Source organism: Homo sapiens, chromosome 18, assembly GCF_000001405.40.
Source record: "Homo sapiens chromosome 18, GRCh38.p14 Primary Assembly".
NCBI classification, from domain to species: domain Eukaryota; kingdom Metazoa; phylum Chordata; class Mammalia; order Primates; family Hominidae; genus Homo; species Homo sapiens.
This window is the reverse complement of record NC_000018.10, coordinates 68,713,822-68,740,359: the sequence shown is the minus strand read 5'-3', so window position 1 is coordinate 68,740,359 and position 26,538 is coordinate 68,713,822. Positions and strand designations below refer to the sequence as shown.

Sequence of the window (26,538 nt, the reverse complement as noted above, 5' to 3'; positions counted from 1 at the left end):
ACCTCTTCAAAACTAAGATTGATGTTGGAGAAAAATTTTCCTAGATCTTTAAAATGACAGCAAACATTCATTTTATCAATACAGGAGAAATTCTAGAGAATCACATAACAAGTGGTTCTTAACTGGGGTTGATTATCCCCTAAGGGACATTGGGCAATATTTGGAGACATTTTTGGTTGTCTCAACTGGGGCAGGTGCTGCAGGAATCTAGTGGGTAAAAGCCAAGGTGCTGGTAAACATCCTAAACTGTACAGGACGCTTCTCCATAACAAAGAATTATCTGACCCAGAATGTCCATAGTACTGAGGTTGAGAAATCCTTCCTTAAGAGATAACACAGGACTGTGTTTCAATATCTATTTAACTATTTTTAGAATACCACTTAATTCAACATATGTCATACTAGTAATGATATCATAATCCAATTATCTTGGGACACAAGTTGCTTTTTCAGAAGGCAGCACACAACAAGGAAGCTCTGCAGCTGTTCCAGGCTGTGTAGCAGCAATCCTACTACCTGGGCCATCTCATATTTCCAGATGTGTCTTAATAGAGACAGATGACAGGAGGAGCTTCTGGTAAGCCCCAGCAAGAGGCTGTGGCTAAATCTCTAGGTTTGGAAGAAGGCATGTCATCTGCAAAAAATAACTACATACACCATTTGTAAAACAGTCTCTGATTTACTACTGGGTAATAGTGGAATTAGAGATATGAAGTCACCAAGTGACGTCATGGACAAAAATACTATATTGTGTACTCTCAGAAACACCAAGTTATAGGTGGACCCTGCCATAATCTGTAGTACAATGGACTAATCACATCCAGTATCAAACATGGGCAGGCTCAGAGGTCACAAGTAAGTTGCATAAAATGTTGACCTAGACTCTCATGTCACCTGCCAGTAGTGAACAGGTATCTGTCCTAAGCTCACGCCTATGGCATCATGGCAGCAGGGGATGGGGTGAGTAAAAGCAAAGGAAAAGAATAAAAAGCTCAAGCTTTGTTCATGAAACAGTGAGCCTGCTAGAAATTTCGGTGCATATCAAAAACAAATGGTAGCTGGCTAAATGGCACAGTGGCTCACGCCTGTTAATCTCAGCACTTTAGGAGGCCAAGTTGGGCAGATCACTTTAGACCAGGAGTTTGAGACCAGCCTGGCCAACACAGCGAAAACCCGTCTCTACTAAAAATACAAGAAATTAGCTGGGCATGGTGGTACATGCCTGTAATCCCACCTATTTGGGAGGCTGAGGCACAAGAATCGCTTGATCCTGGGAGGTGGAGGTTGCAGTGATGTGAAATTGCACCACTGTACTACTCCAGCCTGGGTGACAGCAAGACCTGGTCTAAAAAAAAAAAAAACAAAAGGCTGCTCATCTACAGTCCAATGGCCAGAGGTTCAGGCAATGTGCCTGGCCATCCACTTTGTGTGAAAACAGATATGGCTAAAATAAGGGCGTATCATGGGGAGTGCTGAATGTGCAGTCAGAGGCCTAGGAAGAGCAGGCCTGGTAGATTGGATTCAGAGAGGTCTGGGGAGAGGCATGCAGATGAGATGCGTGGGAGGCATGGAGTGGGAACAAAGTGTGGAGATCCTTCTAAATCAGGTTACTGCCCACAGAAGCAGCTACTGCCAAAGAGACACTCATCAAGCAAGTAGACAAGATAAATTAAAAAATAAATGTTAGTCAAACTCCATTCTCACAGTCATCCCGGTGCTTATGCAATGGGCTCAGATGAAGCAGCCATCGTGGCAGAGATGCATGGGTCCAACGGCAAGAGATTCTTTTGGCAAAGGGTGAATTAGCTACAGCAGCTGCTGAAGCTCTGTCACACCACCATCGGGGACCAGTGCTGAGAGCACCTCTCAGACGGTCTATATTGGACATTATTTGGAAATGATTATATCAGATCCCCTCCATTCTTCCAAGTAATATGTAATCTTGGATGGGATAGACCCGTATTCCAGGTAAGAGTCTGCCTTTCCTGTCTGCAATATCTCAGCAAGCACTCTTATCCAAAGAGACATCTTTAGATAAGACATCTTATTCTTATTCTTTGCTACATATTTCTGTAGCAAAGAATGTCTACTCTGCTCACATAGGATCCTGCATACGATCAACTCATTCTCAGATACCCACTTTATAGCAATGGAGGTGAAGCAGTGGACATACGACCAAGGAATACCCCGGTCCTACCTCCTCCCACAGCATGCAAGAACCATGACCTGTGATAAAGTAGGCTTTGTAGATACAGGGAGTCATGAGCTTCAATGTGACACCCTGCAAGGGGATGGTGTACTATCTTTTATTATGCAATACACACATTAAATGAGTGGTCATTATATGGTCCTCAAAATGTAAAATACATGTGTCTAGGTAGAGAAAGGGGGAAGTAGCCATTCACTGCCATCCACATTCAAGGGATTTGTACTTCCAATGTGCACAAATATAGTCTCTGTGGGTGCAGCATTCCTGATTCCCAGAAGAAATCACTTCCACCAAGAGGAACAATGTGGATTGCACTAAACTTAAAGTTATTACTGCTCAGTTTATGTTCTTTGTGCTAGTGAAGTAACTAGCTCAGAAAGAAGTTGCTCTATTAGCAGGAGCAATTAACTGTAATCATGAAGAAACAGGGCTGCTGCTACATAATTGAGACAGAGCAGAAGATATCTTGCACTCTGGTGATCTACCAGGATGTCTTTTGTTACTAGCATTGTGGATTTAACTCTACAGCCAATCATAGCCATTAATAAGGGCAAAATAAACAGGGAGTCAGATCCTGCAGCAATGAGAGTTTGAGAAAACCCTCCCTTCACATACACACACACACAACCCTCCCTTCACACACACACAGACACACACACATACACACACCACTGCCACTACCACCACCACCACCACCACCACAAGCGCCAGTCAATGGGGAGGAGAATCTATAACGCTGGTGGAGAAGGGAGATCTTGGGTATGAGAGAGTGTTGGGACCAAGCCTGCAGTGGGAGCTATCATTGGTCCCACTGGCCTTCCTCATAGTTTTCTCAGAAAAAAAATGTAATCCTGGAGAAGCCCTGTGTGCACTGAAGGAACTTAATGTGAGAAACAAGTGTACATGAGCGTCCCCAGGGACTGTCAAGAATACTTTGTTTTCGGGTGCCCAGACATGTTACCCCCATGCCCACCCCCTGCTGGTAAAACTCAAAGAGAACACCTTCTCAAGAAAAATCACCCTCAGACAAACAGGAACCACTTTGCCTTTGAGACTACTCCTCCCAACCCTCTGAGGGCAGAGTATAGCCAATAACTGAATTGGGGGTACAAACATTGACCCCTTTGGCTCAAGACTTAACCAACTCTTGTGCAGTTGAGGTGTGTGCCACTGGATATCATCGTCACTCGCCACACACACCTGTCGAGCACCTGAAGTGAGATACGATTGTTTGCACACTAGATTTCAAAGATTTAGTATAAAAAAGAACATAAGATATTGATATGGTTTGGCTGTGTCCCCACCCAAATCTCAAACTGAATTGTATCTCTCAGAATTCCCACTTGTTGTGGGAGGGACCCATGGGGAGGTAATTGAATCATGGGGGTCGGTCTTTCCCGTGCTATTCTAGTGATAGGGAATAAGTCTCATGAGATCTGATGGGTTTATCACAGGTTTCTGAGTTTGCTTCTTCCTCATTCCTCTTGCTGCCTCCATGTAAAAGGGCCTATAAATAACTGGATCTGATGTAAATCTTCAAAATAAAAACATGTAAAGAAAACACAGCACAAACATAACTAACACTATTACATTAAAAAATTATATAAGAACCATATGCTTATCTCATATTAGAACACAATGATATAAAGATGTGCGCGGTGCAAGGCAACAACATTAATAATGGTTTTGATCAGAATACTATTAAAATACACAATTTAAATAATAAAGCTCTTACGTTAGCTCATACTCAGCGTTAATTCACCATCAAGTTGGAGAAAGATGTTTGTGTTTCACAGATGCCATTCCTGGACTTTAAGATTATCATCACTGTTTCTGACGAGCAAGCAACATTCACACTTATTTTAAAATTTGGTTAGGATTCAAATGTTAATGACTTTAAGGCATTCTGAAAAGTGACATCCACTGGGTAGTTTTATACTCTTGATTAGTGTATATCCTAAAACAACCTTTAGAATTGTTATTCCCTATATTTATTTCAAAAACTTTAAAAAAAATCCTAAAAATTCCTCTCCACCTAAATAATTTAATCCATTATACAGTGACAAAGTATTGTTTTTGTATAAAGGATATGATATTTGGCATATGATAATTGTTAGCAAAAGTGCATTCTGTGAATGAAGAGTTGATCTCTCAAGAGAAAAGTGATTCACAAAGAATGCTGCTGACAAGCCTGCCTGCATAACCTTATACTACCACATGATGTCCCTCTAATGCCAGGTTCTAAGGATGGAATTAACCCCGTTAGAAGAGAAATTGGCAAAAGACATGCTTTGTAGATAAAAACATTCAGTTAGAACAACAGAGCACACAGATCTTACAACATGAGGTGTTTTTAATTGGTTAGTTTATACTGGATCTCACATATCACTTATCAAAAAAATGCACCTCTGGTTAAAGAGTCCTGGATATGGGCAAAGCAGTGTGATGAGGACACCTGGTAAGAAGTGCAAGCAGTTCAGCAGAGTCACGGGTGTGTGAGGAGTTGGGTTTTCATTGCCAGATTTGCCTTTGGGCCAAACAGGATATGCAAAGAAAAACTATGCCTGGAAATGCTAGAGAGAAATTTTAGAACATGCAAGGCATAGAGAAATTTACAAAGCTTACAGTGAGTCAGAGATCACCTGCAAAGAAGCAAGGATCAGAATATCAGATGTAGCAACAAAAATGGATGCAACAAAGGAAGGAGTGGGATATTTTTAAATATTTAAGGAAAAGAATGTTGGATATAAAATTATATACCCAAGCAAATGTCCTTTTAAAATGTTGCTATAGCCCTGGCGCGCTGCCTCACCCCTGTAATTCCAGCAGTTTGGGAGGCCGAGGCAGGCAGATCGCCTGAGGTCAGGAGTTTGAGACCATCCTGGCCAACATGGTGAAACCCTGTCTCTCCTAAAAAAAAAAAATACAAAAATTAGCCGGGTGTGGTGGCGCACGCCTGTAGTCTCAGTTACTCAGGAGGCTGAGGCAGGAGAATCACTTGAACCCGGGAGGCAGAGGTTGCAGTGAGCCGAGACTGCACCACTGCACTCCAGCCTAGGTGACAGAGCAAGACTCCATCTCTAAATAAACAAATAAATAATAAAATGTTGCTATAATAAAAAGGTATTTCAGCAATATATAGTTTCAGAAATTCTTCTCCCTAAACAAGTCCTGTATAAACTTTCATGAAGGAAATACTACTAAAATGAGTTGCTGCAAGAGATACGGTATTGTGGATCAAATGAAACCCTAAAGTATTTTGTGGTCTGAAAATTCAATTGCTAAATAATTTTTTTAAAAAAGACTATCCACAAAAACTCAGTTCTCAATTCCTAGAAAATATGTGCAGGTTGGTAAAAGAGAATTTAAAAGAACAACTCATACCTTTCACACACTTTGTCTTCATCCTGCCAAGTTCTGGAAAATAAGATTTAGAGAACAGTAATAAAAATTATCAAGTATTTCTAGCCTGAGAAAAAATAAAAATATCAACTTTTATAAAAATATGAAAAAAATAAACAAGGATACTCATTTTCAGAATGCTGAATTAGCAGGCATTGCTTCAAATCTGAAACGGAGTTAAAATTGTGACATTTGAGTCACTGCACATAAAATCTTTGGTATTTGTGGTTTAAATACACACGACGCATAAAATTTCTCCGTAAGCCAGATGATGACTATAATCCCTTGTTGTTGTCATACTGTGTCATTCAAAACATTCTGCAATGCTGATGACAAAATACAGTCTGGATTTTACAATAATTTATATGTTTGCACCCTGCTTTTCTGGCTAATCTCTACACCCCTAACGCTGCAGCCTCTGGTAATAAAAAAAACTTACAGACAGGCACTTCTTAACTATTTGTCTTTTCAGAGCTAGGTATCTGCTGTCACCTGTGCCTCTTAATGAGCCCTAGAACCTGCTTCCCTGAGGGAAGCTAACTATTCTCTTCTGTTCCTCCCGGAGGACAGGTTTACAGTTGCTTCTATAGCAACCATTACTAACTGCTTTCTGACTTTTTAAGCTTCTTAGTAGTGTGGGTTTCTTTGCAAAGATATTATTCTAGAAGCTTTCAGCTCTTGAAATCTTGTCTTAAAGAGCTTGGCTTTGTCCATGATAAATCTTCATTCTAAATAACGTGTAGACTGTTGTTTCCCCATTTGCAAGTGTATCTGTGACCTCTCCTGGAAACGCAGAAACGCAGCCAACATGTGAGTCGAGGCAGTTGTTCGGACCTTACTCTTTGATGCTGAACTACATAGTTCCAGCAGATGTCACCATTTTTATCAGTAAAGGAACCTAAAGGTCTTTACAGGTTGATAAAAATAATCTTAGCTTTTATGAGGCATCACAAAGTGGAAAGAGCAAACATGCAATAAAGTGTAAAAAATTTTTAATCGTTGAAGTTATAAAGGAATTTGGAAGTCCTCTTAGGTAAATTCTCCATTTAAGTAAGCTACTGTGAGTTTATTTCCTAAATCTAAAGTTAATTATCTATAGAGATTAGCAAATCGTAACACGTGAGGTTGATTGATATAAGGGTTTATTGCAATAAAACACTATGAAATGTATATTTTCAGTGTTCTTTTCAAAGAAATCTCTAAAGTTGTCTAACTTCTTAAAGCATGCTTAAGTTAAAAAAATATATATATATATATATATATATATATAAAGTTGTCTAACTTGTGACTCTAAGGTTACCTTTCCTCTCCGTTGTTGAGTATTAAAATATCTTCTCATCCCTGTTTGCTCCTTCCTCAACCACAAGGTAATTTGCAAAGAGACTTAAGCAAGAGTATTTGTAATTTTGACAGATTAAGGAACCAAGATGCGATGACATTTCTCCCCTGTTCTTTAATGTTTTAATTGGCTGTTAGTAAACAACAGTAGTTTTTAATTCTGAATCAGCAGTCTTATTCTCCACGACAAAGAGAGTGTGTGTGAAAGGCATCAGTCCTTGGTACTATTCTTTCAGACCCACCTCATTAAATCCCCTTCACTGCTTGGGGCTGATGTGGTTGGCTTTGGCTCCATTTCTGAGCTGTTTTAGTTCAGAAAGACTTGCGAATTTACATAAAGATCATTAACTGAGTCTACTTTTTCTCTGAGTCGCTCTAGCCTTAGCATAACCTTCCCCACCAACTTTTCTATCTTTCTTTTTCATATAGTTCTCCTTATACATTGGATGTCTTTATTTTGTCCCTAGGCTAAATCAGTCTATGGAAGTCCGCAGCCCAGGAATCTGGAAGGGAGCTCCACACTTGTGCGATGGATGTTTAGCCATGATGGTCCCTGGTCTGTAAAACTTGTAACTGGCATAGCAAGGATGACTCAAAATCATAGTTTTTTAATACATAGATCTGGGAACTATGGTATCCTAAAAATTTTAAGAGAAAACTGGAAAACCTTAACTCTAAATAGATGAATTCATGTTGTCTGCAGGCAGGTGAGGGTTACAAAAGAAAGATCACTATGAGACATTTCTGTAGAAAGCCTTCAAGTAGGCCGGGCGCTGTGGGTCATGCCTGTAATCCCAGTACTTTGGGAGGCTGAGGCAGGCAGATCGCCTGAGGTCAGGAGTTCAAGACCAGCCTGGCCAACATGGTGAAACCCCGTCTCTACTAAAAATAAAAAAAAATTAGCTGAGCATGATGGTGGGTGCCTGTAATCCCAGCTACTCGGGAGGCTGAGGCAGAGAATTGCTTGAACTTGGGAGGCGGAGGTTGCAATGAGCTGAGATCACGCCACTGCACTCCAGCCTGGGTGACAGAGCAACACTCCATCCCAAAAAAGAGAGAGAGAAAAAAAAAGAAGGCCTTCAAGAAATGCCAGATACACATTTCAAGGAATAAGACTTCAAGCTATGGTTATTATTAACCAAACAGTTTATGGTATCCACCATAGAAATACTAGAAATAATTTAAAATACACAGGGCGATAGAAGAAAAGCCCTGTGCTTCCATAAAAACTGGCCCACAGGAAAGAGATTGAAGATTCCCCCCTGAAGCAGTGTATTTTACTGAAATTAACTTCTCCATTTTCTGAACTTTAATGTTTGAGTAACTCAAAATATATCAACATGAATAAAGTTCCTCAGAGTAGAGTACTAAAGCCAAAGGACTGAGAAAGGACTTTTATGTGAGAAAAATAGTCAGTATTTAGCAGATGCTATAACTTAAATCTCAATAACTGTAAGCCATTCTCCTTTGATATGTGTTCAGTTTTATAAAAATAAATAAAGATTTATTTCCTCCAAAAAGAGCTTTGCTTGCACTAATTCGTACAATTTTCTGTACTTTTACTGAAGTAGAAATGGTGTTCAGAGATTTCAAAATCTCAAGACTATTGTCTGTCTGAAGAGTTTTGCTCCAAATGAATTTGACAACTGATATATAACTGAATGAGCATTATTGTATAGGAGATCATATAACATATATTATATTATATACACACATAGACAAAATTGTTTATATCATATATGTATACATACATATACAAAATTGTTTATATTATATTATATATGTATACATACATATATAAAATTGTTTATCCCTCTGGCCACTAAAATGACCTTGAGGCAATGGAACCTCAGATGGGACCAACCTAATATGCAAATGTAGAGTCCAGATTATAGTTCCTCAAAAATCAATTTTCCATGAAAAGAAGCCAGGGTATTTTGGAAGGATCACGGATTCCAAGTCGGGGGAAGGAAAGGATAAGGGAGTGTGCAAGTTTTCATATAAGCCAAAGTTTCATTCAAGGGTTAATGGAATCAGATCAAAAGGACACAGGAACTAGATTATAGGGGTTTGTGATCATCTCAGCATCGAAAATAGAAAAATACTTATGGTTAACTCAAATACATTAAATCTATGTGGTGGCTCACCTCTGTAATCCCAGCACTTTGGGAGGCCGAGGCGGGCAGATCATGAGGTCAGGAGTTCAAGACCAGCCTGGCCAACATGGTGAAACCCTGTCTCTACTAAAAATACAAAAATTAGCCGGGGTGGTGGCGCATGTCTGTAGTCCTAGCTACTTGGGAAGCTGAGACAGAAGAATCGCTTGATCCCGGGAGGCAGAAGTTGGAGCGAGCCAAGATCGCGCCATTGCACTCCAGCCTGGCAACAGAGTGAAACTCCGTCTCAAGAAAAATAAATAAATAAAATTTAAAAAATAAACATCTTAAATCCATAATGACCAGCCCAAATAAATATTAATTTAAATGTGCCAAAGAAGATCAAGATATCAGAATATTTCTGCTGAAATCTTATTACTCAGTCCTTTTGATACTGTTGATACCTTTCTTATATTGATACAGGATGCGGAATACAGTTCAGTATTAAATACATCATGTAGAAGACATTTTCTGACTCAAGGGATTGACTTCTTAAGTGTGACATTCAGTCAGATGAAGATATATGAGACATCCATAACCAATCTACTATTACTTTTTAAATCAGTAGGATTTGCCTACTTTAAGTATATGAACGAGTGTGAGATTACATTAATGTTTAACATTTTTAAAATTCAGGGAAAAGATGATAACAGATCATAAGTGTTCTAGTCAATTGCTTATCTTGAGTAAGCTGCATCTATCTATCAGCAGACAGAAGTATTACATGAGTGGGTCACACTGTTGAAATTATGAAAAAATGGCATAATAACTACAAATAAGGTCCAAAATATTTCTTCGGAGTCCTGGAAAAGTATCTAAGTGATCCTCTTGGACTAAGTCTATAAAAATGAATAACCTAATTAAATGTAATATTAATTGACTTTCATAATTGGGTTAGTACCTTTGAACCCTAGGGATACTTAGAAGTAAATATAGAATTTTTTAAGAGAAAGAAAACACGGCACTAAATTTTTTGTATTTTTATATTTTTAATGGATAAGAGAATCTGACCTATTGTAATGATGATCTGAAATCTAATCTGAAGTACGTAATAATGGAATTCATTTAGATAAAATATCACATTTTATATTTAGTATTAAAACAACTAAGTTAAACTTAAGTTTACTGTATTTATAAATATAAATTCTACTCACATGAACAGTGCATTAAGGATTCCCATTGTTCTACAACCACACACAAAATGAAAGTCAATGGTACGTCAATGAGGTCTTATTTTGAATTTATTACATTTTAATGAAGTAGAGCATCTTTGAATATTATTTGATGTTTACATTTCCTCTTCTATAAAATGTCTGTCAATATGTTTTGCCCACTGTTAGGTGCTTTGTATTTTTCTTATGTTTTATTAACTTTTTATAGTAGTTACTTAGTTGCACATAACAATTCCAATTCTGTTGCTTGTCTTTTCACTTCACTTTCTTCATGGTGTCTTTCAATTAATAAACCAATCTTTTCCCTTTGACTTGCAACATTTGTATTCAGGAAATCCTCTTCTACCACTAAGTATCAAAGATGTTCTATATATTCTTATCAAGACTTTCATGTTTTGCTTGCTCATTTGTCTTTTTTCTTGCTGGAACTGCTTTTTGTCAATTGTGTAGGGTTTGGACCCAAATTAATTGTTTTGTCTTTATGGGGATTAAAATTGTCTGAGTACATTATAAGCTTTTCTCCAGTTTTCTCCAACGTGATATATCAAGTCATGCGTCAAGTTTCCATTAATGCCTGAATTCGTTTCTGAGCTATTGTATTCCACTGGTCAGTTGGTCTATCCCTGTGTCAACACTACATTGCCCTCAGTAAAATCTTGATATCTAGCAGAATAAGCTCTTCCATCTTAGTTTCTTGGATATACTTGGACTTTTGCTCTTCTCTATAAATTTTTATCAACATATCAAGGTCCCTGAAAAAGACTTCTTAAAATTGTCATTGAAATTTCATTGAATCGATAGATAATCTTGGGGATAACGGGTATCTTGTGATGTTATCTATCCACTGCAGTGCTTTATCTCTCCATTTATTGGCATCTTGTTTAATTTCTTTAAAAAGTGTCATAATTTTCTTCATATAGCTGCCACATCTTTAGATTAATTATAATGCAGCATTTTATTACTAACATTAATGATTTTTTAAATGCATGTTTTCTCTTGATTGCTATTTTAAAGTAACACAATGTATTATTGCATAATGACCATAAACCTAGCTACTTTGGTAAACCTTTACTAATGCTTATAATTTGCATGAACTTTTTTTTTAAATTTACTCCCGCAGAATACATGAACTTTTTTAAAAAAAAATCAATATATGGTGCCTTATCCATGATTAATAACAATTTTGCTTTCCTTTCCCATCCTTACACTACCCCTTTCTCTTTTTTCTTTTACTACACAAGCTAGGATTTTCAGTACAATATTTAATAGGTGTGGTAATATTGAACTTCTCATCCAATTCCAGATATTAAAGGAAATTCTTCTATTTTTTTTGTCTTACTCTTAACAATGTTTGATGAATATTATTGATCCTTATTGTGTATCCTGGTGTTTCTCAACATCTCGAGCAGGATAACACCCAGAAAAAGTTATAATTTTTTAGGGCACATTGATGTAAATCATGAGGCTGCTTAAGGCAAGCAGCAATAGACTACAGCATTCTGCCTGCTTCAGGTCACAGCCAGCTGTGCCTAAAGCTGAGGAGATAATGCAAGAGCACAGTTGCAACATAATCTTGGTGCACAGTCTGAAAGCTTCACCTTGACATGAGGAATTTAACTAGGAGGACAAAACTCATGCCATAATTTTGTTTCTGTTGTTCAATCTTTGGGTAGTATTAGCAGCCATGAATTCAGATATCGAAATGCAAAGCCAAATCAAGAATATCTATTATGCTTGTATATTCTATTCAAATACCCTTGAATGAACAGGAAATGAGGCAATATAATCTACTTCCCTGTTATATGTTAGACTTTCTTCCCTGGGATTACTTCTCAGAAATGACTTCAAATGTTGCCTCTCCTGCTGGCAAGCAGAATAATCTATTTTTATAAGAAATTTGAGCTTCAGCAGAGTCCAGTAGTATACATTGCCAGTCAGCCCATCATTGCATGGCTTGACCTCCAGAATGTCCACTCATTTCATAGACCCATATTGCCACTTCAAGAGATTGAACTAAAGCATCAACTTGTTGATTCCAATCACCTTGAGAAACTAGAAGTTCTTTGATGAACAACAGTATGATTTACTTTGATTTGCACTCAGAATTATAGAAAGAGCAATATCTGAGACAGGGGTATCTTTATTGTCCAATTATCTACAGTCCACTTGCTAGACCAAATTGAAAGTCCATTAAAAACAGTCCAAGAGTCAATATGCACCCAAATCATTGGGATTTTATTTGTGTCAATTCTATTACTGCCAGGAACAGAGCCTGTAATTCTGCCCAGTAGGCTGCCAATCTGGTCTATTCTCCCATGAAGAATTTACTAGCTGCTGGACACAAGACAGCTGCTTTCCATACTGAGCCATGGCACTCCATTCTGGAATTGTCACCTGTAAACCAGGCCAATTGCCATGTATCCTTGAGGCAACTGGTAGAAAGGTTAGGCCTGCCAGTAGCAGTAGCAGCCAAGTCTTCAGATGGCTTTTCAGAAAGTCCTAATGGAAAAAGGCCACTTGCTCATGAATACATTGAGTCCCACTGCATATCATAGCAGACTGCTTCTGTGAAGTTACTTCCACGTTATGGCGGAATTTCTATGAACATTTGCCTGCATGTTGGGATGCTTTATTGACATTACTCATGACATAAGAGGTAGTTCAGGAGTTCATATAATTTTATGTCCTCCAATTATTGGGGCTGTATTAATAAATGCCCAGTGACTATCTAGTAACTGTCTTTAAAAGAAATATACCAGAGAATGGTACTAGGTAATTTTCTATTCCAAAAACACAGAAGTCACTATTGACCATGGTTATGGGCTTTAGCCAGAGACTGGAGTCAGTATGAATGCAGGTGACTGACATTCTGAATATTATCTCAGCATTAGCACAATATGGTCCAAACAGGACAGCTTCAACTACAGGCTCTGCAGTTCCAAGGCTTGTTGTTTTGTTCAAGCTTCCCTTCAAATGGACTTTTTCCAGGTGATTTAATGGGATGGAGCCAATTGTATCCCAAAGTAGATGATAACGATTTTTCCAAAACCCAAATAGGTCTATTTGGCATTAGTTCTCTCATTTAGTCTGAGGGGAGAGGAGCAAGAACCTTTTCTTCCTTGTAGTCTTTTGTGTGTCATTTGGTACTCCAATCCATGGACTCTTCCCAAATTTTACAGTCTTTACAGGGTCCTAGATTTGTTTAGGGTTCATGAACCATCTGCAATCAGATCCCCAATCAGATTCATGATCATGGTAAAGCTGCTTTTAGCTTGACTCTCAGTTTCAGAGATAATCATAGAATCATCAGGATAGAGCATTAGGACACTGTATTGCATCTAGATCTGCCTCACCAGATTGTGACAATATGCAGGGAGGAATTCAAGAATCCTTGAGGCAAATGTATGTTGAAAACCATTCTACAGGAATGCACATTGTTGTTGACTCTTCCTGACATCTAATATTGCAAAAAAATTAGCCAGGTCAATTACAGAAAACCAGTCACCTTTAGCTTGTTTAATAGTCTATTTAGCAGTTGAATAGTGTGGATTATATCAGGGACTTCTGAAGCTATTAAAGTTATTGTTTAATGGAGTTTCCAGTAACTACTGATAGTCTCCATCGTCCATCAGCCTCTCTCACTGGCAACATCAGGGCACTATACAGAGTGTGTAGACACAAACACGCCTGCAGGTAACATTTCCTTAATTAAGGCGGTAATTTTTTGTTGCTGTAGGCATATGTTAGTTAGCATTTCAAATTTATTATTTGAATAGGCTTAGGTAACTCTAACAGTTCCCATTTTTCATATCCAATTAGTACTGAATGAAGAGCAGACCTACAAGTTATTTCATATGTAAAAAATTTCACTCAGTCGGAGGAAGAATTTGCAGCCAATTATTCTATCCATACCAATTATACCTTCAGGTAAGGGAGATATCCCCATGGTATACTTTTGAAAATCATGTATTTCAACTTTTAATGAGATTTTAATGTTTATCCTTCTTCCAGAAGCATCTCCCCATTCCCCTAAATTAATTCTATCACCCTGAATGGACTCATTAGCAGACCGAGGCAACGTTCCTGTACCTAACTGACATAAAAGGGCTGCTTCTCCACCTCTAGGCCATTTCACCCACACATCTGTACAAGGCCTTGGTTCCCCCACAGGAATTTGGTCAAGAGGCCCAGTCCTTCACATCACCCTTCTTCATCCATTATTGCCTGTGGTAGGCAGAATTCTAAAGGTGTCCATTCCAAGTTCCCATAGTCTGCTCAGTCAATCAAAAACTAATCCAGTTACTGCTCTGAAGGGATTTTGCGGATAAAATTAACCAGGTGACTTTAAGATATGGAGAGAATCTTGGATTATTCAGGGAGACCCAAAATAACCACACAGGCCCTCAAAAGCAGAAGAGGGAGAGTTGCAGCAGAAAGGAAAGTTGAAGAGATTTGAAGCAGGAGAAAGACTTGCCCCACTGTCACTGGCTTTGAAGTGGGCCATGAGTCAGGAAATGTAGGTGGAGAATAATTCCCAGACAGAAGTTGTCAAGGAAACAGAGCCCTCAGTCCTACCACCACATACAAGTAAATTCCAACAGCAACGTTAGAAGCCTGGAAGTGGGTCCTTTCCTAGAGACTCCAAAAAGGAGCAGAGCCTTCTGACGCCTTGATTGTAGATTTTTGTGACCTGAAGTAGAAAGACTAGCTGAATGTACTGGATTTCTAATCTACTGAACTGGGACATAATAAATTCGTGTTGCTTTAAACTGCAGCAATAGAAAATTAATATAGTGCCTTACTATTAAAAGCAGGTATTTTGCAGTGACACAGAATCTACCTGATATGGTTATCTGTGTCCTCATCCAAATTTCACACTGAATTATAATCCCCATATGTCAAGGGCAGGACCAGATGGAGATAACTGAATCATGAAAGCAATTTCTCTGATGCTGTTCTCATGATAGTGAGTTCTCATGAGATCTGATGGTTGTATAAGGGGCTTCCCTCTTCACTCGGCACCGCTTCTCTCTCCTGCTGCCCTGTGAAGAGGTGCCTTCCGCCATGATTGTAAGTTTCCTGCGGTCTTCCCAGCTATGCAGAATTGTGAGTCAATTAAACCTCTTTTCTTTATAAATTACCCAGTCTCAGGTATTTCCTCATCGCAGCAAGAGAACAGTCTAATACAGTAAACTGGTACCAATAGAGTGGAGTGCTGCTATAAGGATACCTGAAAATGTGGAAGCGACATTGGAACTGGGTAACAGGCAGAGGTTGGAACAATTTGGAGGACACAAAAGAAGACAGGAAAATGTGGGAAAGTTTGGAACTTCCTAGAGACTTGAAGGGTTTAGAAGACAGGAAGATGTGGGAAAGTTTGGAACTTTCTAGAAATTTGTTGAATGGCTTTGACCAAAATGCTGATAGTGATACGGAAAATGAAATACAGGCTGAGGTGGTCTCAGATGGAGAAGAGGAACTTGTTGGGAACTGGAATAAAGGTAATTCTTGCTATGTTTTAGCAAAGAGACTGGCAGCATTTTGCCCCTGCGCTAAAGATCTGTGGAACTTTGAACTTGAAAGAGACAATTTAGGGTATCTGGTGGAAGAAATTTCTAAGGAGCAAAGCAATCAAGAGGAAGCAGAGCATAAAATTTTGGAAAATGTGCAGCCTGACGATAGGATAGAAAAGAAAACCCCATTTTCTGGGGAGAAGTACAAGCTGCAGAAATTTGCATAAGTAGTGAGAAGCCAAATGTTAATCACCAAAACAAAGGGGAAAATGTCTTCGGGGCATGTCAGAAACCTTCACACAGCCCCTTCTATCAGAGGCCCAGAGGCCTAGGAGGAAAAACTGGTTTTGTGGGCCAAGCTTAGGGCCCGCCAGCTCTATGTAGCCTCAGGACCTGGTGCCTGTTTCAGCTGCTTCAACTCCAGCCATGGCTAAAAGGGGCCAAGGCATAGCTTGGGAAATTGCTTCTGACGATGCAAGCCCCAAGCCTTGACAGCTTCCACATGGTGTTAAGCCTGTGGGTGCACAGAAGTCAATAACTGAGGTTTGGGAACCTGCATCTAGATTTCAGAGAATATATGGAAATGCCTGGATGTCCAGGCAGAAGTTTGTTACAGAGGCATAGTCCTCATGGAGAACCTCTACTAGGGGAGGGCAGAAGGGAAATGTTTCATCACAGCCCCCACCACAGCATCCCCACTGGGGCACTGACTAGTGGAGCTGTGAGAAGAGGGCCTCCATCCTCCACACCCCAGAATGGTAGAACCACTGACAGCATGTACCACGCAGCTGGAAAAGCCACAGACTTTCAACACCAGCCTGTGAAAGCAGCCAGGAGTGGGGCTGTATGTACCCTGCAAAGCCACAGGAGTGGAGCTGTCCAAGCTGCTCCACATCTTGCATCAGTGTGCCCTGGATGTAAGACATGGAGTCAAAGGAGATCATTTTGGAACTTTAAGGTTTAATGACTGCCCTGTTGGATTTCGGACTTGCATGGGGCCCGTATCCCCTTTGGGCCAATTTCTCCCATTTGGAATGGTTGTATTTATCCAATCCTTGCGCCCTCATTGTATGTAGGAAGTAACTGCCTTGCTTTTGATTTTGCAGGCTGATAGGTGGAAGGGACTTACCTTGTCTCAGATGAGACTTTGGACTTGGACTTTGGGTTAATGCTGGAATGAGCTGACGTAGGGGGCTGTGGGAAAGGCATGATTGTGTTTTGAAAGGTGAGAACATGAGATTTGGGAGGGGCAAGGGGCAGAATGATATGGTTTGGTCCTGTGTCCCCACCCAAATCTCATCTTGAATTGTAATAATCCCCATGTATCAAGGGTGGGACCAGGTAAAGATAGTTTAATCATGGGGGCAGTTTTCTCCATGCTCTTCTCATGATACTGAGTTCCCACAAGATCCGATATTTTTAAAAGGGGCTTTCCACCTTGCTGGGCACCCATTCTCTGTCCTGCCACCCTGTGAAGAGGTGCCTTCCACCATGATTGTAAGTTTCCTGAGGCCTCCCCAGCCATGAGGAACTGTGATTCAAACTTCCTTTTTTTATAAATTACCCAGTGTCTCATATTTCTTCACAGCTGTGTGAGAAAGGACTAATACACAACCCACATAACAAACCTGCACTTGTACTCCCTGAATCTAAAAAAAAAAAAAAAAAAAGGTTGCAAAAAGAAAAAAAAATAAAAGCAGATATTTTGGAATTCAGTGCTGGTGCTGGAGGCTCATGAGAACCTTTCTCTATCTGAAATTCCCCTAATCTTAGACAAGCCAAGTATATTTGCTTTGGTATTTTCATATCTTAGGAAGTTTGAGAAGAAGCAGTTTGTATTTCTCTCGCTTCCTGAAAAATTTCATCAAAGATCTGGCGGGTACTCTGCCCATTTGTTCCTTTTTCATGTCATTTTAGATTAAACATCTAAAGGCTTCTAATTCTTAAACATCTAAAGAATTCTTCACCTTTTCTTTTTTAAATTTACTTTCTTGTATAAAACCCTACACTTTGTATAATATTATCTTGAAGTCTGGTAGGAGGAAGTTGGGAATAAAAATCCAAAGCTGTCTCTTTCACATCCTTTTTAGGTCCCCAAAGCAAAATCACATATGGTGTTCATGGTGGTGGGGTGTCTTTTATAACAGCAGCACTCATAAGCTGGATGAGGAGCATCCCAGATGGAGGTCATTTCATTGTCATATAGTCAGGCCAGTAATGTCTGTATCATCAGCATTTCTGCAGCTTCAGTTGACCATTTAACGACAAGGGAAGAGTGGGGAAATTGCCCTTCTCTGGGAATGACTGTCCTTTCTTTACTACATTCCAGTCAGGATGGATTTCTCCTTGAACAATCCCCGCAAAGATAGCAGCCAAAAAAGGATGCGGGATGAGTGCAAACATTCCCCTCCCTCAACAGCGTTCAAAGCCAGAGACAATACTACGGATCTAAAATTCTCAGAAGCCATTTGAATAAAGCTTCATCAGGGCAAGGCTTGTAACCCTGTACAAAATACTCTCTTACTTCACAGAACAATCCCTTACTTCGGTTGTTTCCTCCCTTGTATCATGTACTTGCCCCACTTGAATTATCTTCTTAGTTGTAGCAGGTTATAACCTCAGGCTTAGCTGGCTCACCAAAAGTTATAGTGTCCAAGTTCCTATGGTTGAGGTTTCTTTTGACAGCCAGAGAGGATGAAACGCAACTTCAGAACTTACTTTCGCTTTTGCTAAGGCTAAAAGCAACAACAAGAAACTGGAATTTTAGTCAGCTTGCCTTCAGTTTGCATTTCTCTTCTAATTTTGCTAGCTTCTAGAATTCAGTTGCTATCATTTCCAGATTGCAACAGAAAGTCTTATTATCAGTAACTAATATCAAACACTATGCTACTTCCAACCAAGCATAGTTTGGCAACCACCTCTGTATCAATAGTATATTTTCATCCTCTTTTATCAGATTCTTCCCTTTCTATTTCTAAATAATGCTTAAGTCATATTTTTAGCAAAAAATGAGTCAGGAATCTTATTTTTTTATTTTTTCTGGATGAAGCTCACAAGCTTCATGTTGAGTGAAAGAAGCCAGATTCAGAAGAGTGCATCCTGTATTATTCCACTGATATCAAGTTCAAAACTAATCTGACCTGTCAGAAGTCAGGAGAGTGGTTCCCCTGGTAGAGGCAGTAAAGGGGAAGGGTGGAAAGGAGCACTGGAAAGGGACAAGGGTTGTAGGGACAAGGGTGGTTTTGTGGGTGCCTCAATATTCTGTTTCTAGATCATCAGAAGAAACAGTTACATGGGCATGCTCATTTTGTAAAAATTCATTAACCTGCACCCTAATGATATGTGTTCTTGTTTGCACATGTATTATACTCCAATAAATGCTGTTTAAGTAGATGCCTAGTAATTATTGTTGCTATTAACAAATGACTGATCAGGAGTTCTGAGAGAGTAGGAACTTGGGCTGAAAGAGCAATCTCACAGTCTCTGGGTGTCTTTTATTTAAAGGTGTCTGTCTGTCCCACAGGCTGGAGGGCAGGGGTGTGACCATAGTTCACTGTAGCCTCAAATTCTTGGCCTCCAGCAATCCTCCCCCCTCAGCCTCCAAAGCAACTGGGATTACTAGTAGACAGACCAACATGCCTGGTTACTTTTTAAATTATTGTGGAGACAGGGGGCTCGCTAGTTTGCCCAGGCTGATCTCGAACTCCTGACCTCAAGCCACCCTCTGCCTAGCCTTTCCAATGTGCTGAGACTAAGGTGTGAGCCACTATGCCCATATGAGTCAGGAGTCTTCTAAGCAATCCCATTTCCAACGTCAACTGTACAAAAACAGAGTTCACTTGCTAAAAAAGACTCACCGGGCTTCATGTAGCAATGCTTACAAATCTATGCAGGAAAGGAATACAATGTAATAACAGTGTTGAAATAAGGATATGGATCAAAGTCACTCTCCCAGCAAGGAGTCTGGTAAAAGATTCCATGTGAAAGCGTCTAGCTTCTTCTTTCTATAAGGGTCATGAGTGCACGTTCTCTCTTGGATCAGGAACCACGTTCATGTGCATAGAACGCTTTAAAATGAAAGAACACAAGGTGGAGTCTCACCTGAGTTTTTAAATATTTTCCTAGTCATATATGTATATTACTGCTGCAAAATCAGCCTCAATCCTAGAACCCAATGGAGATTTCACTAAGACCAAATGCAAATCAATCTCACATTAATAAATAAACAATGTAGCAAATAAGTAAAAACCACCTGAAAATTCCTTGATCCATGGATACAAAAGCATCATTATTAGCAGGTTTTGGTGATTGATCAGTGTTAGTGTTATGCAAGAAATTTAGCAAAACATCTCAGGATAATTCTAGAATTGGTGGATATTAACCTTTACAGCACAACATGTCATAGAATTGCCTTCCTATTCCTAATTTACTATTGATGACAGGTTGAAGTATATAAATTCCTTTTATTCCATTTATTTAAATAATTATATGCTCTTTATCTCTTATGTGTTACTGCAGAAAATTTCATTAAAACTTTTTTCCCAAGTTAAACCAAGGCTTGCATTTCTGGACCAAAAAAATAATAATAATTTGGTCATGATTATTATCTTTTTCAGTGAACTGCTAGATTTGGTTTGATATTTTATTGGGAACTTTTCCATTTTTGTTCACAAGTGAAATGGGCCTGTTTGTTTTCCATTCTCACATGACTCCTCTGGTTTGGGTACCAAGTTTATACTAGCCTCTGAAGAAATTGGTGAGTGTTCCCTATTTTTTGATTGTCTGGACGTGTTTGTAACAACAGTGTGGTTAATGTTATGTTTCAACTTGACTGGGCTAAGAGATGCCCACATAGCTAGTAAAACATTATTTCTAGGCGTGTCTATGAGGATGTTTTTGGGAAAAGTTAGCATTTGAATGAGTATCTGAGTAATGTAGATGGCCTCCCCAATTTGTTGGGGGTGGGGGGAGGTGGGGGCATCATCCAATTCATTGAAAGCCTGAAGAGAACAAAAAGATGGAGGGCAGGTAAATTCACTGTCTGTGTTTGAGCTGAGACATCCATCTTTTCCTTGCCCTTGGATATCACTACTCCTGGTTCTTGGGCTTTGGGACTCACACCATGACTTACATCACTAACTTGTGGTTTTCAGGCCTTTGGACCCCTCATTATCAGGTTTTCAGAGGGACTGAATTAAACACTTGGAGTGGCTTTCTGGTTCTCCAGCTTGCAGATGGAAGATTAAGACTTCTTGGTCTTCATAGCTGCATAAGCCAATTCACATAATAAAGCTTCCTTTGGTTTTCTTTCTCTGGAGAATCCTGATACAGATTAATTTTTGTTTTCATAAAGATTGGTAGCACATATTTTAAAATCAATAGGGTCTCATTTTTAATGGTATAATTTTAAGCTTCTGATTCAATTCCTTTATTTGCTAATTATTAAGTCGTTTTAGTTTTTGAACAAGTTTTGCTTTGTTTTTCAAATAACAATGACTTTAAGTTTTCTTATGTATTTTCATAAAGTTGTTCTGTATCTCTTTAAGTTTTGCTGCCTATATTTATGCTCTTCTTCTGGTTCTAGTATTTTTAACGTAATTAGTATACTGAATAAATAAAGATTATAATCAATATACAACAGATTTTTCTTCCATCATTCTTTAAAGCATATTTTACACAAAGTGATTTAAAAAGAAATGGTATTTTCTGAAATTATTTTCCCTCAACACCACTAAATGAGACATGCAGGACAGAAACAACAGCATCACCTGGGAACTCTTGAGAAATGTAAATTGATGGGCCCCACTGGGTCAGATTCTCTAGGGACTGATCAGAATCTGCATTAAACCAAGCTCTCCAGGCAACTGATGCTTAAAATTTGAGAAGCACTGTTAAAACTATAATATCTATCCATTAAAAAACATAAATGTATGTAGCTTTATTTATTCTTATTTTTAAGCTTTTATTAGGGCCCAAACACAGAAAAGTACAGAAACCCGAAAGGTACAGCTCAACACATTTTCGCAATGTGAACGTATCATTGTAAGCAGCACCCAGATCAAGAAACCTGATGTTTACCTGTATCCCAACTTTTAACACGATTAATTTGCCTGCTTTTGAGCTTACGTAAATAAAATCATGTAGTACCTTTCTTTAGTTTCTGGCTTCTTCTGTTCAACATTTGGTTTAGGATTTGCACGTAGTTCTCCATACAAAAGTTCATTCATTCTCGTTGCTATATAGCACTTTACTATAGGATTACAGCACAATTTATCTTCTATTCTACTCTATTATACTATTAGACATTCGAGTTGTTTAGCTTTTCACAATTACAAACTGTCCTGCTATAGACAAGACATTCTTGTATATGACTTTTGGTGAGGACATGTGTCTTAGCCTGTTGGTGCTCTATAACAAAAAAATACAGACTTGGTAATTTATAAATAATAAAAATTTATTTCTTAAAGTTCTGGAGGCTGCACATAAAGGAGTCAGCAGGTGTGGTATCTGATAAGGGTTTGCTCTCTGCTTCCAGGATGGTACCTTCTTGTTGTGTTTTCACATGGCTTAAGGTTGAAGGAGAAAAGGGACTAAGATGATCCCTTCAATCTCTTTTATAAGGTCTCTAATCACATTCATGAGGATTCCACCTCATGACTAAATCATGCCCAAATGGCCCCACCTCTTAATGTTATCATACCGGCAATTAAGTTTCAACATATGAAATTTGGGTTACACATTTAGACTACAGCAATATGTATGCAAAATATACAAGGTATATATATACACAAATGTAGCTTATCTGAAAGTCTTTTAAAAAATGTTGTCAAAATAGTAGAATCTTTTAAATCTCAAAAAAAATTATCACCACTTGAGGTAGATAAGCAGAAAAAAACACTTAAATTTTTCACCACAGAATATGTTCCAGCATATGTAAATTTAGCATGTTCTCTGAACAAAAAAGCCTAAAAAGTTTATTGGTTTATTAAATCATTTTCAGATTAATGCATTATTTTGATCATTTTCTCATTGCCTAGATCAGTGATGTGCAACGGAAATGTAATGCAAACCAAGTATATAATTATAAATTTTCTAGTAGCTACACTGAAAAATAAAAACAGGTGAGATTAATTTTAATAATTTAATTAACTCAATACACCTAAGCTATAATCATCACAACATATTATCAGTAAAAAATATTGAGACATTTTACAGTTTTATACTTTCTCCCCAATCCAGTGATCCAGTGTATATTTTACATTTATAGTACATCTCATTACAACGTCTCTAATTTCATCAGAAATACTTAATTGGTATTTATTTTATAGAGACATGGTCTTGCTCTGTTGCCAGGCTGGAATGCAGTGGCAGGATCACACCTCGCTGCAACCTCAACTTCCCTGGCCCAACTTATCCTCCCACCTCAGCCTCTGGAGTAGCTGGGACCACAGGTGTGTGCCACCACATCTGGCTAATTTTTTTTTTTTTTTTTTGAAACAGAGTCTTGCTCTGTCGCCCAGGCTGGAGTGCAGTGGCGCGATTTCAACTCACTGCAAGCTCGGCCTCTTGGGTTCATGCATTCTCCTGCCTCAGCCTCCCAAGTAGCTGGGACCACAGGTGTCTGCCACCACGCCCAGCTAATTCTCTGTATTCTTAGTAGAGACGGGGTTTCACTGTGTTAGCCAGGATGGTCTCGATCTCTTGACCTCGTGATCCACCTGCCTCGGCCTCCCAAAGTGCTGGGATTACAGGTGTAAGCCACCGCGCCAGGCCACATCTGGCTAATTTTTTAATTTTTTGTACAGATGGGGTCTCACTGTGTTGACCAGGCTGGTCTCAGACGCCTCACCTCAAGCAATCCTCCTGCCTCAGCCTCCCAAAGTGCTGGGATAATAGGCATGAGCCACCCATGCCTGGGACTTGATCAGTATTTAGATTTCATAAAATTTACAGTTGAAAAAGTAGATTCACATACCTCAGTTGTTCCAACCACATTAAAAAAACTTTCCAATAGCTGAATCGAGTGTCAGTTTTTGAGTTTACTGAAATTAAAAAAAATAAATATTCAGTTATTTCATCACACTAGGCACATTTCAAAAGCTCAATAGCCACATGTGGTTAGTGGCTACACTACTGAAAAGCACAGATCTAGGTCAACTGGCTTTTGTTGTTGTCCACATGTGAACTTAAACTGTAACGCAAATATAAGAGGAAATTATTTCACTTTGCATGCTGTGGAAGACAGAAAACTTTGAAATACATGAGAATGAAAAAAAAAAATTGAATATGGGTCATTCAGAGACCTTGCCAAGAAAGTAGAAAAGCTTCTGTATAAGAGTATCGAGGCGATGGTACTATTATAAAGCTGTTCCACCACCACCGGGAGAACATTCCCATCATTTCAACAGTCCCCTTACGTTTTAGTCTACTTTTTTCTTAAAAAAAAAAGAAAAAAAGGAAAAGAGAAAGAAAAAGAAAAATTGAATCTGTAGAGGGCTTGCGCTGGATACCATGCTGCATGCACAAAGGGGGTGACATTTAGGGCTTGCTCTCAATTAGAGTGCAATTTAATCTTCTAGTCACTAGGAATAACGACGTTTTATGACATTTTTGCCTGTTGGAATTTTGAACCTAAGGTGAACCGGCTGACATCATATCCCCCTTCTGTTGTTGTCACAGGTTTTCAAAATTTGGTTTGATCTAAATTCTCTGGTACCTTATGTCCCATAAAAATTTCATCTAGTTCGTAAGTAGTGATTGCTGCAGTAACCGTCTTATAAAAGTATATGGTTTTTACAAATCATTGTCGTATAGAAGAAAAAACAGGTAGCAATATAAATATTTCATACTACTTTATCTAGTTCCAAAATAATCAGAAAAGAGCCATCAAAAAATATCCTACGCTTAACTTCATGTTCTCAAGTTTCAAGAGAAAGTTTTTAAAGAGGCAATCCTTACTTTGGCAAAAATGCATTAAAGCTTGCTGCATTTAAGAGATGTCCCATTATGCAAACAGGTTGAAAGAATATTACAAATACGTTTTGGAAAAATACGGAGTGTCGCGCAGCTCAGCAATCCGCAGTCTTAATGCGCGCCTCTTTCCAGGAATTTGATCCAGCATCAAAACCCACAGGTGCACTCACCACACGGGAGTAACAAGTAAATGATGTGCCAGTATTCAACCTGCAAGTGCGTCGTCAGAGCCTACCTCACCCTCAGCATAACTTTCACCGGTATTCACCTTCCCGGAAACGCGCCCCAGTGAACCAGCACCGTTTTCCCTAGTAAAGCCCTTAAGCAGGGTTCCCACGCTCCTGGGCGTGGAGGGGGGCACCGAGAGCGCAAAGGATTCTTAAGACATGACTGCGCAGGCGCTGTCGCATGCGCCGCACTCCCCTCGCATGCGCCGCACTCCCGCGCATAGCCGGAGACGGAGACTGGCCGGGTAGCCCCGCCCCCGTAGTTAGCGCGGTGCTTCTCTTCCGCTCCGGGTCGGCTCCGTTTCCCTTTCCGGGCGGGCAGGCGGCGGACCCCAGTGTCTTTATCCCTCTTTTGCACAGTCAGCTTCTGCAGCTCTCCCGGGCTAGCATGGCAGCGTGGAAGAGTTGGACGGCCCTGCGGCTCTGCGCCACAGGTAATGGGGGCTCAGCGGTCGGGACGCTGGCGGGCGCGTGGGACCTGGCCCCGCCGTGGGGCCGGGATTGGACCCGGGTCTGGGGCGAGGCCTGCGGGGTTCGTGGAGATGCCCACCCATTCCCGGCAGCGTCCTGCCGCCCCCGCCGCGCCACCCTGCCTGGCCCTGACGGAGCGGACACCTTGGGGTCCTTCCGCCGCCGCTGTGCCGGACCAATGCTGGACGTGGGAAGGGCGCGCTGCCTTGTGTTTGTGTTTTTCTCATTGTGGCAGAAGTTTCAATAAAGCTTACTCCTTTGATGGGCAAGAAGGATGCCGCCGTCCCAGCTTAACGACCAAATCTTGCCTTGGCTTTAGGTTCCGAGTCTTGTCACGTTTAAGGATTTTTACCACCAGTACTCAAGAGAGGGTGGTCGAGGACAGATCAGGGTCAGGCCGCCGGGATTGTGCGGTGTGAAAAGGACCTGAGTGTGTGTCAGCGGTTCTCAGCTGCCTCCCGTCAGCATGGAGTGCCCTCATTCTCACTGGGGTCCGCTCACTTAACAACCTTTTAGAGCCCACTCTGTGTCAGGCACTGCCGTGTAATAAGTATTAGAGTTGCAGCTCGACTTTCTTCCTACGTATCTATTTGAGGGGAAATATTTTGAATGGCATTTGGAGTTTTTACGGAAGAGGTAATTGCTACTAAAGCAAAAGAAATAAAGAAGAATGCTGTCTATTTGTATTCCAAAAAGATAGGATGGTTAAAAAGAGACGTAAGATGAGAGTGAAAATATGGAGGAAAAAGGAACTGTGTGTATTAGATTTATTGGCTTACCTAGAACTTGGCCGGTCACGATATGGTTGCATACAGACTAAATATTTATTAAATGGATGAACTACCTTTGCTTTTGCATCATTTGCACCCTGGGATGCATCAGTGATGAATTTTTTGGTAGGTTGTGAAAGGTCAAAAACACTTCAGAGATGACTAAGCTTATACGGTATGAGCCAAATAATCAGCATTTATTGTGTACATTTTGTCTTTTTTTTTCAGTTGTTGTACTTGATATGGTCGTCTGTAAAGGATTTGTAGAAGATTTAGATGAATCGTGAGTATACATATATATATTTAA

The 26,538-nt window shown here is 39.6% G+C and overlaps 2 protein-coding genes across 14 annotated transcripts in view, besides 4 other annotated features; one reads left to right on the top strand and one right to left on the bottom strand.

Moving 5' to 3' along the window:
• The window catches only part of CCDC102B (coiled-coil domain containing 102B), a 342,906-nt gene extending 317,762 nt beyond the window's left edge, over positions 1-25,144 (bottom strand). For 3 of the 4 annotated variants that reach the window (XM_047437804.1, XM_017025973.2, NM_001093729.2), the window contains exons 1-3: positions 24,999-25,144; positions 23,766-23,832; positions 5,594-5,626 (exon numbers count right to left, since the gene is read on the bottom strand). Coding sequence is in view for 1 of the 4 variants with exons in the window: in XM_047437806.1 (XP_047293762.1) it covers positions 25,004-25,012 (9 nt within the window). In the remaining 3 variants the exon portion in view is untranslated. The remainder of the gene's footprint in view (positions 1-5,593; positions 5,627-23,765; positions 23,833-24,998) is intronic. The other variant, XM_047437806.1, reaches the window with a different exon arrangement.
• Positions 17,263-17,362: an enhancer, noted in NCBI's record as "active region_13474". NCBI's record gives its function as "activates an Ori minimal core promoter by ATAC-STARR-seq in GM12878 lymphoblastoid cells {active_cell/tissue: GM12878}" and the evidence as "EXISTENCE:reporter gene assay evidence [ECO:0000049][PMID:35858748]".
• Positions 24,925-24,994: an enhancer, noted in NCBI's record as "active region_13473". NCBI's record gives its function as "activates an Ori minimal core promoter by ATAC-STARR-seq in GM12878 lymphoblastoid cells {active_cell/tissue: GM12878}" and the evidence as "EXISTENCE:reporter gene assay evidence [ECO:0000049][PMID:35858748]".
• Positions 25,195-25,324: a silencer, noted in NCBI's record as "silent region_9537". NCBI's record gives its function as "represses an Ori minimal core promoter by ATAC-STARR-seq in GM12878 lymphoblastoid cells {active_cell/tissue: GM12878}" and the evidence as "EXISTENCE:reporter gene assay evidence [ECO:0000049][PMID:35858748]".
• Positions 25,252-26,538, top strand: part of TMX3 (thioredoxin related transmembrane protein 3) — a 41,421-nt gene continuing 40,134 nt past the window's right edge. For all 10 annotated transcript variants that reach the window (XR_935227.3, NM_001350516.2, NM_001350515.2 and 7 more), the window contains exons 1-2: positions 25,252-25,424; positions 26,460-26,514. Coding sequence is in view for 6 of the 10 variants with exons in the window: in NM_001350514.2 (NP_001337443.1) it covers positions 25,379-25,424; positions 26,460-26,514 (101 nt within the window). In the remaining 4 variants the exon portion in view is untranslated. The remainder of the gene's footprint in view (positions 25,425-26,459; positions 26,515-26,538) is intronic.
• Positions 25,505-25,604: a silencer, noted in NCBI's record as "silent region_9536". NCBI's record gives its function as "represses an Ori minimal core promoter by ATAC-STARR-seq in GM12878 lymphoblastoid cells {active_cell/tissue: GM12878}" and the evidence as "EXISTENCE:reporter gene assay evidence [ECO:0000049][PMID:35858748]".